Here is an 18,745-nt window from a genome sequence, read left to right as displayed (position 1 = left end):
CAGTGTATTCAGCAAACCGGCATTGAGTAAAGGCTGAGATCCCCCTTTCTCCCACTCATCCCGTCTCAGAGCATTGGAAAGAGCAGCATATTCAAATGTCTTAGTAATATTTAATTGGTTGTCATTTGGAAATTTGTGGGTTTTAGAAATTATTAGTGCTGTTTTCCTGATTTTACTATCCTTTAACATTATCCAAGAATACCAATACATTTAAAAATATTCAGTGACATACTAAAGGGGACCTGTTTGGTACACTGAAGTAGAGAAACTAGTACTTGGCTTCCTGATTAGACTTTTGCAATGATTCGTTCTATTCAAATAGAGTAATGATAATATAACTCAGAATTCCTAAAAAACACTATAGATTTAAAGTTCTTTCCTTACCTTTAAACTTATTTTTAAGGAGTATAATCCTCCAACTTCGCAGTAGTGGCGAACTATAGTTAGTATTCATTGCAAGCTTATATTGTACATTTTACACACACTACTTCTAGTCCTAACAACTAAGAAAGGCAGGTACCTTTTAACTAATGAGACAAGATTCAGAAATCTTAAGCAACTTGCCCAAGGGCATGTGGAGGAGGTTTATTTAAATGTAACCTCATTGAAAACTGAACTTAAATGACATATAGACACACAAACGCAGGAAAACAACATAAATATAAGAGAAATGCAGAAAAGTGGAAAATGAGATGACTCCAGGGATAAGGTATAATAATAATTTCATGTTATAAGAAATAAAAGTGAGCCACTCTGACAGTCATATTGGTCAATGAGGGGAAAGTGACTTTATGAAAATTACATTTTCCATTACATTTAGTCAGATTAGTTGCTTGGGAACTAGATTTTCCCGGCTCTGTTCTGAGCCCTTTAAAGGGAATCCTGGGTGGTACAGTGAAGTTCTTTCTCCTCTCTGAGGCATGTCCACACAATAAGTTCAATAGTGAGCTCAAGTTCAATAGTGAGGTCTTCTTGTAAGACCTCAGAGTGTTGACTGCTGGTAACACTTCAGAGTATATTCTGCAAAAGCAATTCTACAAACGTTCAAAGCAATGTGGCCCAGGCTTCAGCACTATCACTTAGGGAAACATTTTAGAACCAAGTTGAAAGAATGAGTGGCCTGTGTGCAACATTTTATACATGTAATTCTAAAAAAATCAAGAACCAGTAAAAAGCAAGTTCATGGTTATTGCTGTGGGTGGGACATGGAGATCAGTTACTCCAGTCTCTGTTTCACAGTAAACCTATTTTTTTGTTGGCAGTCCGCTGAGTGGAGGGTAGAGCTGCTGGGGAGTATAGTCTCTGGGTTAAAGCATGGACTTTGTGTGAGCCAAATCTAGCATTGTTTCTTGGCTCTGCCACTTACTCGAACTCTCTGAGACTCAGTTTCCTCTTCTGTAAAATGGGGACAATAATCACACCTTTCCTTTAGGACTGTTTTGGTGGTTCAATAGAATAATGCATGAAAAGAATTTATTGTTAAGAATATCATTAACTAATATTATGGACATTCTCTTCTGAAACGTACAGGGCTAACAGAAGGTTTTGCTTGAGTAGATGTGGGTATGGCAATGGTAGAGAGTGTGTGTCATGGTAGGGCATTTTTTTTTTTTTTTTGAAAATCCATGAATGCTGGAAGCCTCTGGTTTCTATATTGCTAACAAGTGGCTGAGTTACAGCCACATCTTATTTTTGCCTAAAACCAAAGTCTGTGTCCTTTCCTTATAGCCAGTTCCTTACCTGTTTTAAATATTTTCACCAAGGTTCATTCCCTAATGGGTTCTACCTTTTTCTCAATGTAGAAATAATTCTGCAAGTCACTTTGTCTTGCTGTATTTTAATTCACTGATCACAAAACAAAGGTTTTTCTATGTCAGTGTTTCATACTGCCAGGTGGACAAGAGGAAGAATGTCTGCAAACACTTGATCATCTTAGCAACTATTTGAATTTTTTTAAATAAAAAAAAGTATGGTTTTAGATACTAAGAAACTAAATTATATAAACGTTAGCAAAATATTGACATTTGGTATGTGAATTTAATGAGCAATTTCCTAGCTCCCAAAATATTTATTTTCAATATCCTACTTGCTTTTTATGGTCTATCTACTCGATTTGAAATCTGTTCCATTTATACAATCAGTAAATTACTTTTCCATAATTGCTGTTATTACAGACCTCTTCATATGCTCCTACTTATTTCTCAGAATTCTATGACAGGAAGACATTTGTAATGGAGTCCAGATACATCATGAAACTTTAGGAAACAATGAAAATGTTTCCCTAATATTAAAAAATATTATTTAAAAATAAACGTACCTATACTTATCTGCTGTGGTAACATAGGCTATTCACAAATATATATCTCACTCTTATATTTAGCCCATTATGAAGTTTTCTTAGTTATATTAGCAAGAATATCCTAGTTTTAAAAAAATCCTTTATATGATACGGCACGTTAAAAAAAGGTGTTAATTTGTTCAGTTAAATAATATCAAAATGAATAGGTGGAAAAATTAAACTAAAAAGATCTTGATACCATTTCTTATCTGAAAAAATCTAAAAATCTGACATCACCTTGTCTTATGAGATTCTGGGGAAATAGGGATTCTTATAAGTAGCTGGTGGGAATGCAGATTGATACAAGCCTTCCAGAGGAAAATTTGATAACACTTAACAAAACCACATATGTACTTATCTTTTGACTCTAAAATCCCAATTCTAGGAATCTGTTCTGAAGATACATCCTTAACAACACAAAAATACACATTCATTAAGTCAATCATTATAGCATATTTGTTATAGCAAAATATTGGAAACAATACTAATTAACCATGGTGCATTCAACAATGAAGTACTACACAGCTATTAGTAATGTGGAAGATCTTTATGAACTGATCTGGAATAACTTCTACAATTAACCCATTTATGCCTGAGGCTGCAATTTTTTTGAACTTTTGCAAGCAGACCTTGGCGATGACCTTGAGCTGTAGGATAGAAATAACTCCCACTTGATTAGCATTCCAATAGTGGAACACTAGGCATAAATTTAAGTGAAAACAGAAAAGTATAAAAGAATATCTACAGTATGCTACCCTTCTTGTAAGAAAAAAGGAAATATAATCAAATACACACATATCTACTTATACGTGCAAAAGAAGTACAGGAAAGATAAACCACAAACTAAAGAGATTGATCAACCTGCAAAGAGTGGGTGGCAAAAGGATAGAAAGAAGGGGATTATGGCCCTAAGTTAGTATGGATAAAGGTGGGGGGACATAGCTAAACACATAACTTTTGTATAGTTTTGAGACTTAGAACTACAGTAATGCTTCATATCCTACTCCAAAATAAAGAAATAATTAAAATAAACCAAGATGTAGGAGAACTTAAAACGGAATCCTAACAGTACCAAGGAAACCTAATTCTATTACCAATGAATATAACAACATTCAAGAAGATGACTAACCTAAGTAACTAAGAACATAACTAACCTAAGTAATTTGAAAAGCTATTTTGACTGGATACCACAAACCTAAAGGCAAAATAAACTCTACAGAAATACTGTGCTCTCGCTGGTCAATATATTTCTTAAAGGAGTATGGGTTAGCAACTCCAACTTATATACATTCTGTCTTTAACAAATATGTTAATATATTGCAGATAAAGAAAACCGGATTTCTCATTGTTGGAGAAAGATGTTGCAAATAAGGAAAGAGAAGGCTAGAATGAACTTTGTGGTGTTCAGCTGGCATCAGTATGAACTCACAGACAGATATATACATATACATATACACACAAAATATACACACAAAATGAAGTATATAGTTTAGTTAATAGTATTATAGCAATGTTAATTTCCTGGTTTTATTATTGTAGTATGATTATGTATGTATGTTGTTAACATTAGGATCAGGTGAATGATAGGTATGTGTAAATTTGGTACTATTTTTGAAACTTTTTTGTAAGTTGAAAATCTTCAAAATCAATGTTAGTCATAAATTTGATAAATAAATAATAAATATAAATTGTCAGTATGTATGAAGTAGTATACATACACATATTTCCTAGTGTATTTTGGAGACAGGGCTTCATAGCAATGACCCTCCAGTAGCATCGAGCACGTCTAGTGCCCAGACCTTGGTTTCTAATACCATTCTCCAATAAAGGAACTAGTGCTCCCCGGAGAACAGGTAGGTTTTAGGACTGATGCAGGAAAAATACAAAATGATCCTGGTATATCTTGTAATGGTAAAAATGAGAAATTGCTTCAAAAATGATGGGGACCATGTCAGAAGGATATAGGACCCAAAAGTAAGGAGCTCCCAATGTACAAACCTGGAACAATTTGAGCAACAAAATAAATAATGACATTATTGGATTATACCCATAGAATATAACGAATGACCATGAGCTCATACCGATATAAATACATAACTAAACAGATAAGAAGTTGGGAGAGAAAAAAGATCCACTTTTTCGGGGGAAGAATTCCAATTAATATATAAAGAGGGAAAAAAGGAAATATAAAATCACCAGTATGCAAATACTACAGTAATAGCTGCTACAGGCAAAATCCTTTGATGGATGCTAATATCAGAGGTGAAAGGTTGAGGAGAAACAGGATATTAGCATAGACTTCAAATACTTTCCCTAAAAAACATATCACCAATAATGGGATAAAATACAGTAACTCTACAGTGAAAAATACCAGCAGACACTAGAAAATATCAGAAGAACCCAAATCGAGAAATATTCTACAAAAGTAACTGATCAGTGTTTATCAATAGTGTCAAGGTCATAAGAGATAAGGAAAGTGGAGAAAGTGTCACAGATTGGAGAAGACTAAGGAGACATGACATCTACAGGCACATGGAATCCTGGATTGGATTCTGACACATGAAAAAGATAGGGGATAAACTAGTGATATTAAAATGAGGTATGTAATTTAGTTAATAGTATTATATCAATTTCTTGGTCTTATTGTTGTAGTATGGTGTATTAGGAAGTTCTTACATTGCTATAAAGAAATACCATAATTCATAAAGAAATGAGGTTTAATCGGCTCACAGTTCTGCAGGGTGTACAGGAAGTATGGTGGCTTCTGCTTCTGGGGAGGCCTCAGGAAACTTACAATCATGGTGGAAGGCAAAGGGAAAGCAGGCATATTTTACATGGCTAGAGTAGGAGGAAGAGAGGGAAGGGGGAGGTGCCACATACTTTTAAACAACCAAATCTCAGGATAACTCACTCACTCATTCACTCACTATCATGACGACAGTAGCAACGGTGATGGTGTTAAACCATTCATGAGAAACTGTCAACATGATCCAATCATCTCCAACCAGGCCCCACCTTCAACACTGGGGATTATAATTGAACATGAGATTTGGGTGGGGACACAAATCCAAACCATATCATATGGTTACGTATGTATGTTGTTAACATTAGAATAAGGTGAGTGATAGGTATATGTAAATTTTGTACTACTTTTGCAACTTTTTTGTAAGTTGAAAATCATTTTGAAACAAATGCTAAAAAATAATTTGACTTTAGGAAGATCGAGAATAAAGAATAACAATTGGTAAAGCTACTTCTTTACCAAAGTCCCTGGGATATAAAGCTTATATGTCAAGTTTAATGCATATATACTAAACCCCTGGTAAGTAAGAATCTTCTAATTTGAAATTTTATTCATTCAGATAAAGGCTTGGCTAAAAGTTTCATTTTAAGTGATCGTCCAGAAAAGATTGTGTATGTTCAGGAGAATGTTAAGATTTCTAAATTAAACAGAGAAATGCTTTAAGCAAAAATGACATACTAATTAAAGCTCATTCTTATTTCTGGAAGCATAAAAAGATCACACGTGGTATTACCTGGCAGATAATAGGTAGCCAATAAAAAGTCAAGCTTAAATTTAAAAATAAGTCCCCTAATGCCTTCTAGAAGGCAATAATTTGATGTTTGTATCCTTGCTCTCTCAATTAGTACAGATTACTATGACTTCTCTGTGTAAATGGATACAGATTTATCAAGAAGGATCACAGACACTTCCATAAACTGCCATCATAGCTCTCAAGTGGCTATTCCTCTGCTGAATTAAGAGGTTTCAGATGGAATAATTTGACTTCCATCTTGTAACTGATTTGCAGAATGAGGCATATACTTTATCATTTTGCTTCCAAGCTATCAATGTCTGCATCTTATAAATGTCCGGATGTAACTCTAAATTAAACTTTTCTTACATTTTAAAGGTTGATTTAGCAGGTTTGTGATGTTCATACCTTCACTGGCAATTCACAAGCAATCTGATGTCTAGTGATCACAGATCAAAATGGATAGGAATCAATGCATGGCACAACAGAATTAAAATAATGTTTTTCAATTGTGAGGCACTTAGAAGAAATGGATTTTAATATCTATCAATTCCACATGTAAATCAAATGAATCCTGAAACTAGCTTCTCCAAATCGAATTCAAAGGAAATGTAGTAAGGACACGTAGTAACCATTCAACACAATTCATTGTTAAATTTTTTTAATATTGCATGGCCACTATTAAAGTATTTGAAATTTTGATCTCAAAACCCAAGACTCCTATGTGAGTTAGGAAAAATAAATATAAATCCTCTATGAAGAAACTGGAAGACTGAATGCAGCCTATAGGCTCAGCCTTTCATCTGGCCACATGCTGCAACCTGAAATCATCGTTCTCAGGCTTGACCTTTCCTCTCACTTTGTTCTGGCAGCTTTCCAAAGAGGGATAGGTGGTTTTAGGGCATTTTCTTGTGTTACAAATCAAATAATATTTCATGGCTTTCACCTTTAATGGGCTAAGCAGAAGGCATTCGACACAAGTCACTAGGGAGGCTTGGGGAAATTATTTATACTCTAGGGCATTCTTAAATCAGTAACTTGGCAATTTGGGATTCAAAAAACGTCACTGGTATCTCGAATGTTTCATTGCAGAAGCTGCATCATGTATATTTGTGTTGTTCCTTGGGGGACTTAATGTCCAGAAACCAATGAATAATTACCTTGGTCCTTACATATTGTGTTTTCGTTGGTGACAATCATGCCACAGGACATGCAATGAAGCAAGGGGCTGCTTTGTGATATTCTTGCCAGTGAAGGAAATGAATGCCTTTTGGGGAAGGTTTTTGTAAAATTAACAACTTTCATGCTTCAGCTTAAAATCTAGAACTTGGTAATGGCCAGAAGAACGTAATTCTAGATTTCGTGCAATGAGAATTGCAAAAAGTCATAACCAATAGAAAATCAATTTCCTCTTGAACTGACTGCAATTATGAAATGTCAATATGTATGATAAATATAATTATTAAAGGGTTTCTGAGTCTAAAAACATATTTTGGAGAGCGATTGAGGCATGGCCGTTAAATCATTATGTTAAGCATTCTCATATTTGCACTGTTAACATTCTAGCTGCATTTAATTAAAGAGGTTGGAGCATATAGACAAAGGCTCATTCTGAGAGTACACAGTGATTAGCAGGCTGTTGAATGTTTAATATTTAGGGGTAAAGGCAGTATGATTTCACAGGGAAGAAAAATGCAGGCCATCTGTATGGAGCCCAAGATGGGGAATTCCAGGTACAATCTGTCAGAGTTGATTACGTTGGCCACATCTGGGCTGTGAAAACCCTCCAATGGTTTGTGACATCCCAGCTTTTGTCCCAGGAACATAGAACACTACTATTTTCAGTATTCAATTGGATGTTTCCACTTTTGGTCCCACTGTTTCTCAAATCCAACAAGACCTAAAGAGATAGAAGAAATCCATATTTGCCATTCCCCGAACTAGCTTCCTGTTTGCTAACAGCACTGTCTTTCTCTCAGGCACTTATCTCAGTCATATCTGATGTATTTTTTGCTTTGCCCTCTTCTTTCAGTCACCTCTATTTAGACCCGGAGTCCTATAAATTTTTATGTCCAACTCTACCATTATTGCTGCCTCCCTTTCTCCTTTTGTGCCATGCTTAGATGACCTATCTAGTCTTACTACCACAAGTCTCATCCATCTGAATCCATCTTTTACTTAGCTGCCAGATTACTATTTAGATCCTGACATTCCCTGGATAAAAAAACCCTGTGCCTTGTCATTGCCTACAAGGCAAAAGAAGGTCAAGTATTTGGCCTGACTTTTAAAGCTTCCACTGTCCAATTCTGCCCAACCTTACCTCCATGTACACAACAGCAAGTAAGTCTATTTCAGCTGCGCTGGTTTTCTCACAAGCTCCAAAGCACATCATACTTATTCCTACCTTCCTACCACTGTTTTTCCCCCCCTGGTGTCACCAAGCACTTATTCATTTGAGCAGGGGTAAGGCCATCTCTGCTGGGATGGGTCTTGCATCTCAGGAACTAAGGCAAATCCAGAAACAGGGATAAGAAGAAGCTTGCTTGATGAAGTGCATTTCTACTCTTGTCACTTCAGTTCTGACTGATTAACAATTAGTTGATAATTCTCCACTGGTTTCCAGGTTGCCCTTATTATGCGTTTGGCTTACATGTTTCTGGTGTCTTGATGTTTTCCTACCTGCTTGCTTACTCTCTTGCTTCCTCCTTTCTACTTTCTGTTCATACCTTCACAGGTTATTCACCTGCACAGGAGCCCACATTTCTTCTGCCCTCAGTGCTCTGTGAATGTGCCTTAACCCTTGGTGATTTACATAAATTATCTAGTTTAATCCTCACAATGCTAAGAGGTACGTACTATTATCTCCAGTTGCTGGATGAGAAAACTGAGATTTATGCAGGTTAAATTATGTTCCCTAAGTCACACAGGTTATAAGTGGTGGAGTCAGGATTCAAACTCATGCAGTGACTCAAGGACTGGTGCTCTTACCTATGTCTTCTACATTTAACCAAAGCCCACTTTGAAAGCACACATCTCATCTCTTTGGAAAATGATAATTTCTCAGATCTCAGGTCCAGGTTATGTGGTTTTTATTTTTGGTGTGTTTACCATGTATGTGCCTAGTCTAGGTCTAAGCAAAAAGAAACCATCCAGTGAAATTTTTTTTAGGAAAATGAAACATATTCAGAGGTTGAGCCATGTCAAGCAAATTATAGATGTTTTAATGGTCTAAGCCTGCCTGTCCAATACAGTAGCCAGTAGCTACATATGGTGATTGAAATTTAATTAAAATAGCTTGATTGTGGTAATTACTTCACAATGTATATGTATATCAACTCATCACATTGTACACCTTAAATATATACAAATTTTATTTGTCATTTATTTCTACCTCAATAAAACTGGAAAAAATAAGTAAATAAAAAATTTAGTTTCTAAGGCACACTAGCCACATTGTAAGTGTTCAACAGCCACATGCAACTACATTAATTACATTAATTAATTACATTAATTAAAATTAAATAAAATGAAAAATTGAGTTGCTCAGTCTTACTAGACATATGTCAAGCATTCAACCACCACATGTGGCTAGTGGCTGCTATGCTGGTAGCACAGACATAGAACATTTCCATCATCACAGAAAATTCTATTAGACAGTGCTGGCAATATCAGATTCTCAATTTCTTCCAATATAGCTTATCAATCCTTGTAGTCACAGATTAACAGTTACTTCCTAAATGCTCAGCAGGAGTTAATTGGTACCGTGGTTAATAACCCTGGTACTGAAGCCAAAACCTGGAACTGCAACTTACAAGTTGTATGACCTTGAACAGGTCACTGAAATTCTCTGGTTTCAGTTTTCCCATCTGCAAAATGGAGATCATAATATTAACTACTTAATAAGGTTGTTTTAGGGTTAAAAGTTTAAAGTAATCACAATATTGTCTGGTATAAAGTAAGTGCTCAATAAATACTATTAGGTATTTTTTTATTTATATAATGTTTTCCTAATGAGATCTAGAACCATAGAAATAGAAGAATAGAATTTCTTATAACTCTTGCTTAATTTTATAATTTAGATATTATGGTTGCAAGTGAGTAGCAAGACACATTTAAACATTTTCTCCGGGACAAACTCGGGAAGCGCATATCTGGATCTTTAATTAATAAAGTGTGGTATTAGGCACATGTTAAACTGGGTCACCAAGAACTTGCCGAACATTTTAAATTCAGCCACAGGGATTTAATTGAAAAATACTGCAAGGCTGGCTAATGAATGGACATATGTGTTTCATTTAGTGCAGAAGCCTTTTATAAGTAAGCTCCTATGCCTGATCCTCATCCTCCAAGTGCTCTGTAATAATTGCAAAATTATTCCTGAAGTCCTCTTAGGACTATTGATGATTTTAGTTCTCTCGTCTGGTTGAGTCATAACAGTAGGCTTTGGACTATGGAATACATTTCTATGTATGTTCAACTCAGAAGAGTTTGGAACACTCAACTATTTTAAAGACGAAACTGATCTAACAATAACTAGAGGCACTGAATTTAAAGAACCAGGATACACATGTGCCAGTGATAATACCAAGGGCTACAAAGAGCTGTTTAGTTGAACGATTGTGGTGGATTTTGAGAATACCCTCCTCCTGAAGTCAATGAACTCAGGTAGAAAAGAGAGATTTTGCTTCCTATGAGATAACTAATCTCTTCAAGCTGGTGTGAAACAATCCGAAAGATAAATGTAGCGCTGAGGTAGGAGAGGGTCACTGCCGGGATTCATTCAGTCTGAAAACTCTACCAGCTCTTGCGACCAAATGGGTAGCCATTGTTACTTCTAAAACTTTCTCACATCTGCTGATTTACTCATTTCACCCAGTAGAATTATTAGGCCCTTTTTCAAATCAGCTAATTTCCCGAGCCTTGAGATTTTAGTGGTGAATATTGACAGCCTTATTTGGCATCTAATTATCGCTGTTATGTTTCTAGAAGATTCCTGCCTCTTAAAGAATAAAAATGTGATGCATACAGATATATCCCTGCTTGGGGTAATGCCATATATTCAACTACTTACTTTTCATTTCTCTTTCTAATTTTCACTTCTTCAGAGGTTATAATAAAGGAAATTCTTAGCGTAGCAAATTATTTAAATCTATGCAAAGAAAAAAATCGAGGACATATCTTTTTCATGTGGGATTTATATATGAGCTGTTATTTGAAGGACAAGGCATATTTCATGCTCTATTTTAATTTAAATTCTCTCCTGGATATCTGACCAAGTATCTATGGACACGATATTTTTAAAGAGTTACAACCATAAGTTTTCATACACCATGAAGCTTCCCAAAAGCTTAAATTACTTCCATTAATACTTATACCCACTCCCTCTTTAGAGTAACAAAAGGAAAAGATCTATTTAACCACTAAAATAAGTCACTGAGACCGTCTCTTCTAACCTGGTTTCCACCCCTGGTTCCTTAGAGAGTTGTTCACAATAAACAAGTCACAAAGACAGCCAGATGAAGAGATTACAGCAGTCTCTTTTATAATTGTTAAAGAAACAACCCTGAGGAAAAAGAAAACTCATTTCAAAAATGACTCAAATATAAAGACATGATTAGCAGTTCTACTTTTGAGATAACTATGAATTAAAGGAGGTTTCAGAGCAATCGAAATATATATATATCCACACACACACATATTCAAAGTAAATACTATGTCAGAAAAGAAGTCTAAGTGCCATCATTTAACACTTTCATGATTAAAATATTTTAATAAAATGTTGCCACATTGCACAAAGATGTGTTAATTCATTATTTGGGTTAAAATAAGGCTTTTCACTTTAGCTGCTAATCTTGAGACTTTTAAAGTAATCGAAATGCCTCAGGAGGTAAACCGCCTTCCTTTATTCTATTATATTGGTCACCACGTGAAGGACTCTGGTTATGGTGGCCGTGGGACTTGTTACAACTTTGCTATTTGTGAATAGCTATGTGGTTTGATGTTTTCTTTAACGATCCAGTTACTTAGCTCTATGTTCCTTACTTTCTAGTTCTACATCACAATAATTTCTTCTATCACATGTTCCTTTTATCTCCTAAAATTTGAATAGCTAAGAATGTCATTGGGCTAATGTGCAGAGTGTTAAGATTTTTGCCTGGGTTTCTGGCCTTCTGGAATAGATTTAATTCCACTGTAAAGAATCATCAAATATTTTCTTTTGGCATGACAAAAGTCAGGCACCTGTGTCATAGCTTGAACTTGAAAACATGACAGTGAAAATTGTAACATGTTATTAAAGTCAAATGTCAATTACTAAAAACAAGTACGTTTTATATATAAATAAATTAAACTACCTATAGAAAATACATTGAAGAGTAAACTAAAATCAAAACGCAAAATTCCAAATTCAAAGGCAAATTCTCTAACTACCTTGAATAGTTTTAATGTGCTCTGCTTTCTCTTGGTCAACTAAATTCTTCTGTTGTTGTTTCTCATAGAAATTAAAAAGCTTGATAAGGCATAAGTCGTACTTTAGTAAACTTCCTATCATATTATATATATTTTAATATATATTTATATCTATATTTAGTAAACTTCCTATTATACATGAAATATTTTGCTTCCTAATGAATTTTAGTTGCACAATAGGTATGCCTCATTTCAGACCATTGCTTTGTGCCAATATTATTTTGTACCATAAATCTCATCTTGAAAATCTCGATTACACAGTATCATTTACAGTAATCAGTAAATAAGAAATGGAACAATTACTATTATTAATTGCATAGAAGTTGAGTGTACAGGAACTAGAAATAAATGGATGAACAAAAGTTGGAATTGGGCGTAAAGGAAATACACACACCCACACACACATCCCCTAGAATGACGACTTGCCTATTGTATCCAGCAATTTTAGGTCTGATGTATGTTGCCTCCTTTGATCCATGGGAAAATTGCTTGATTCAAAATAGAAATTGTGCTTCTGTGAATCCCTTGAGTTGTTGCCTCAAGATCAACATTAGTAAGTGTTCAGAGGTTAAGAAATGCCTGTCTCTATATCTGCTGAATACCCACACATTATGCCACCAACCTTAAGGCATTAACCCTATTGTATCACATAAAAACACTTTCACATATGCAGAGTTCAGAGTAAACCGTTTTCTAAACTTAGGTAATTGATAGCAAATGTAGCCAGCGACAGGCTGTTGGGTGCCAGCCAACTCTTTTCTTTCTTTCTTTCCTTCCTTCCTTCCTTCCTTCCTTCCTTCCTTCCTTCCTTCCTTCCTTCTTTCTTTCTTTCTCTCAGCAAGTAGTTAGTACGGCTTATGCATCCTGCCAGCATTACATGAGAACACAACATATGATAAATGCCCACAAGAAATGAGAAATATTGAGTCAATGACTGTAAAAGAAAGACAGAGGGTTGGATGGTGTTAGATTTCACCTGACAGAAAACAGTGTTCTTTGTTTTTTTAAAAAAGTCTTTCCTGGTGCTTTCACGAATGCTCAAGGGCAAATGCGAGTCCTCTAGCTAACAGAACAGATTTTAAAATAATTGCTTTGGCTTTTGTTCCTCAATTTCAGGGTTGCGTTTCTAGACTGTATTATTAAATAGGCTCTTGTATTACATAAAGTAGAGATGAAGAAGCCTTGAAAGTTTGCTGCTATATACAGCTCTTGGGTTTTTCTTTTTCTTTGGTTTAAAGGAAATCATTTTCTATGTTTAGATTCTAGAGGTTTTTGTAACATGGTATTTCAGGAATATCAGCCAGTGTCATATCATATTTACTATGGAATTATTTGTAACTAAAAGAGTTTCTTGTCAGAATTATATTATGGACTTTTATGCCTGAGAAGGTCTTTGAAAGAACAGTATCTTACGCAAATGCTTGAAATCGTTCCTTCTGCCTATTTTATCTCCTAAAATGCAACATAACACAGTCCTGTACATTTTACAAAAGAAAATCTGAGTTTCCTCAGTAGAAACAATAAATGTTTATTTTCTAATATCAAATAAGGCTTATCTAGCAACATTTTCCCAAACACAAAATTACGAATGCACAAATTACCATGAGAATTGACAACTCTTGTAGGTTCCAAGAAAGTCATTTGTGCACCAAGTAGCCATTTATTACATGACATTAGTCATTGGACTGACCTAACACAGCTTCCTTGTGGCTGGCTCTAATTTACAACTTGATAGCAGCTGTCACAATGAAAGAATCAGGTACATTATCTGATTTGTTTCTGCCATCCCTGCACTCATGAGTCCATTAACAACAGGGATATGTGATTTTTAAATTACTGAATTAGTTATACCTCCATTAAAAGAAAAGACTTACAAAGTAAAATAGAACAGCCTCTTAGAATATTCCCTTCCATTTCTCTGTACAGTTGGGTCCATTATTCGATTCAAAGAACATATACTGGGTACTGTTCTCTATTCTGTTCTCTAACAGGGGCCTTATCTGTTCTCTATTCCATTCCCATGCCTAAACCAAAACAAAGTCCACAGTAGGCACTTAGTAAACATGTGTTGGACTAATGAATATGTGACAGAATCAGTGAATAGTGCCCACTTCAGGGTCTCTCGGCCTGCCACAGATGCAGTGCCCACCTTGGGTTTCATGTTTGATACTCTTATGACAGTTTTCAGTCTTTGGGCTGCCTGGCAACTTAATAATTGGCAAGTTTGAAAAGAAGAAGCCCAGAAAGTTTGATATCACTGGTGTGTCTGGTCTATGAGTGCCCAAGGCTTAAATTTAAAAATACTAGCGGCTTTGCTGGCTTCCCCCACAACACCCTTTGGAGGGCATCTAAATCAAGATAACTCAACTTTTTGCTGATGAAAAATAACACAAATCTCATCAGTTCAAGACAGTAGTAGTGGGCAGGTGAGACTTGATCATAGAAAATGTCAAAAATAAAACAAACGAGCATTTAAGAACCACTGACAAATCATGCTAGACCTATTGAGAGTGATACGGGAAACAAACTGTCTGAGGGCTTTGGTGTAACAATTATATATGCTGTGGCTATTTAACATCAATTATGTTTGACAATGCCAATTCAATACAATCTTATTTGCTATTTTATTCTACACTTAACAAAGTAGGGCTTCTCTGACTCCCCGCTGACTAAGTTAAGTCCCCCAGCTGAGTAAAGGCTTAGCACCCCATGCTTCTGTTATCCTAACACTTTGTCATAGTTTGTTATAATTATTTTAACTATGTTAAATTCCCTAAGGGCAAAAAATGTATATGCCTAGCTTACCCAATATAGTGAGTTGAATTATTAGGGTCTTTGCTAACTGGGGTAGCCTAAATATTAGGTTGCATAATTGGGACAAAAACACTCAGGTCTCACTTTTATACTTGATGTTAGAAGCATTCTCTAACACTTAGGGATAAAAAGTAGTATGAAATAATACAGAATCCCTGCCTTTGTCTCATCAACCTTTGCCTCTCCTCATTGGCAACATCTTTTAGAAATCTCTCTCTGGTTCTCATAGTCTATAAAATCTTAGAAGGTACCAGATGTTTGCAGAAGCTGTCCCACACATCCTCAATTTTAAAGTAGATGTAAGATTTACTATAGCTATATAAATGTAATTCAGCCTTGACTTTTGTGTTCATGAGCTAGTTGTAATCTGCAACATGGCCTCTTGTGAAATAGAACAATTCTTATCTATGGAGCGTTGATAACAATGCCAAACACTCAAAATAACCACAGGATATTACTGAAGCGAGTTCTGCCCACAAACTGTTTCTCCCTCTAGGAGATTTTAATTTAACACAAACATTTTTCAAGAAAACCATTTTGCATTTGGGCAGCATGCAAAAGCTAGGCTGGGATAAGTTTTGTATGAAAATACGGCAATACCTGGGATAAGTGCCTGAGCAGAGACTGTTAATGCCTTAAAACAGGGTTTTCTCCTACCGCACTGCATAGTTTCTAATAGTGACAATAGGCTAAAAGCCACTCTCCTGTTTCTTCTGGTCCTGCCTAGCTCAGGGGTGCTACGTAAGACACCATTCATTTGGATGCAGCAAGTGGAATCTGGGTTGTGCTTTATCCTGGGGAACCCCATACACTACTTACTACAAAGCAAGTGAAGGGGCGGGCCTGAGGCTGATGAGGATTTTTAAGTACTCTAAAATAGGTCTAGCGGCATTTTTTCAATGTTGTAAGGAAGTTTTCAAAGAAAAGTTCTTCATGTAAAAATGGAGTTTCTTTTTCTTATAACAGTTACTTGGTAAGAATCTTTTGAGCAATTCCTCTGTGCAGGGAACTGAGTTAAACTTCCTGGAGGAGGACTTTGAAAATGCATCCTAAATAGACTCCTGATTTTTTCGAAGAACACACACACACACACACATGCACGCACACACACACGCACACACACACGCACACGCACACGCACATGCACACGCACAAACGCACAAACGCACACACGCATGCATGCACACACGCACACACACCCCAACTACAGAACTTCAGTAGTGGTTGGAATACCACAGAAGTTTTTACTGGAATGCTTAAAACACTTAACTTTCTTTTGACATGATCCAGACACTGACTGAACTCTAAACAGTCACTAACCACTTTCAATTAATTTGTGGCATTGTAAAGACTGGGAGGATGTGCCCCCAGTTTGACTCTTGTTTTTATTGACGGTCGATTGCATACCACTGTTCACATTTTAGATAGGCACATTATAATTAAAGAAAAACATCTATAAGATGTACAAACTGGGACATTTGTGTAGCTAGCAGGGAAGGTACATGCAACTGACAGCAACAGGAGTGAAGGTTTTGATGAAGAGATGCCAGAAGCCCAAAGTGATGGGCTGCAGGTGCTACCCAGAGAGAGGGCTATTATATATAATTTTTGTTGGATTACCGATTTGCTCACTGATCTTTGCTGCCGCATTTATGAACACTGTAACACTGTCATCTGAGATGTATCTGTGTGGAAAATGGAGTTGGCACATTTGACTAATTCATGCCATAAATTTGTGAACTAACACTTCACACCCAGACAAGTATTAGCAAGAGCACATTTTTCTCCATAAGTCTGTATTGGTGGTCAATTCTCAATGCCACAGCAGAACCCAAAGAAGGAAAACTGGAAGAATTTTCTCAAAGACATCTAGGACTAATTAAAAAAAGAGACAGAGGGGACGGGCACGGTGGCTCACACCTGCAATCCCAGCACTTTGGGAGGCCGAGGCGGGCAGATCACGAGGTCAGGAAATCGAGACCATCCTGGCTAACACGGTGAAAACCCGTCTCTACTAAAAATACAAAAAAATTAGCCTGGTGTGGTGTCGGGCGCCTGTAGTCCCAGCTCCTCGGGAGGCTGAGGCTGAGACAGGAGAATGGCATGAACCCGGGAGGCGGAGCTTGCAGTGAGCCGAGATCGTGCCATCGCACTCCAGCCTGGGCGACAGAGCAAGACTCCCTCTCAAAAAAAAAAAAAAAAGACGGGAAGAAAGGGTATGAAATACGTTCATATAGGACGAACCACCACGCTTGCTTTTCATTAAAGTACATCCAGCAACACATAGTTGGTTCAAATTTTAGTTTTGAATCCAGTGATTTTCCAGACATTCCATTTCACATCAAATCGGTATCTAGGAAACTCAATTGATCGAAAGCATAAGGATTTGTTTTCCGTTAAAACAGCCAGTAAGCACTGAGGACAAAAAGCCAATTAAGAAGTCACTGCTGCTCTTACAAGTTAAAAAGCCTATATTCTCATTCTTAATCATGTCCTGCTCTAAGTAACAAAACCCACATGCCCATCTTCTTCAATAACTTGCAGGCTGACTGAAGCCAACTGAACTGTGCTAGGAATTAGGGCATTTCAACTAAAAATATGGATGACTATATGACTCCAAATGATGCTACGAGGTTTAATCTGACTTTAAAATAAGCAGATCTTTTTAGATTTCTTGATGAGTGTACCTTTTTATCAGCATTAGTTGGGTATTCTGTCTTTGCTAAAAAATCCAAATCTTCTAAGATCAAGTTTATTTTTAAAAATTCATAACCCCTCCACAATTTTAGCAAAGAACAAAAATCTTAGTAAAGAATCATGTCATTTTGTGTCAGAAGGATAACTTAATGATTAACTTTTAAAAATTCCTTCATTTTTCAAATAAAGTAACTCATGATCATACAAAGAGATTTTGTCCTCCCACTGTGGGGAGAGGTAACGGCACTTCAATTTATTTTTTCTGAAATAAAACCATTTCCTCTGGCCTTTCTAAGCAAAATGGTGAATTAGCCAATGGGTTTCATTATCAGAGCTGAGGCCTGTTAACCTAAGCACATCTTTGTACAGTGAGCTTCAGTTTCTCTGAATTCTAACATCTTTTTTCTATCCTATGCAAATCTTAGTTGTCAGAACACTTTACTTGTGCATGCTCGTTTAGAGGTTTGCATAAATGACGAAGGCCCTCAGAGGCTGACAAATGCCACTGCTATTTTCACCACTCTGCTTGTCACTGTGTAATTGCAGTAAATGCAATTGAAAGTACTTTTATTTGAAGGCTATTTGACAGAGGGGGAGAAAACACATTTACTCTTTCAAGGCCTGTGTATTTTCCTGGGAGAAGCCTGCCTATGAAATTTGTCCTTTTATCCTTGGATGGCAATTTGTGAACTGTCTTTGGGCCATGCAACCACTTGAATGATTTCTGCAACCCAAGAACAGAGCCTTGATTCAGAGACCTTCCCCTCCATTCTCCCCACCTCCCTGCCTCCTGCCCTCTAGAGACTGGAAGGCTGTTTCATGCTTGTGTGCTTAAAGCCTTCTTTTCCACAGAATGAGATAGAAAATTTGCATATTTTAGCCAAAGTATTGA

At 36.3% G+C, this 18,745-nt stretch overlaps 1 protein-coding gene across 3 annotated transcripts in view; it reads right to left on the bottom strand.

Annotated features, from left to right (window-relative positions):
- The window catches only part of GPC6 (glypican 6), a 1,191,492-nt gene that overhangs the window by 360,658 nt on the left and 812,089 nt on the right, over positions 1 to 18,745 (bottom strand). The gene's annotated exons all lie outside the window — the stretch shown is intronic.

The sequence above is a fragment of the Homo sapiens genome, chromosome 13 (genome assembly GCF_000001405.40).
Source record: "Homo sapiens chromosome 13, GRCh38.p14 Primary Assembly".
Lineage (NCBI taxonomy): Eukaryota > Metazoa > Chordata > Mammalia > Primates > Hominidae > Homo > Homo sapiens.
Note: the sequence above shows the minus strand (reverse complement) of the source record. Positions and strands in the feature narration are given on the sequence as shown.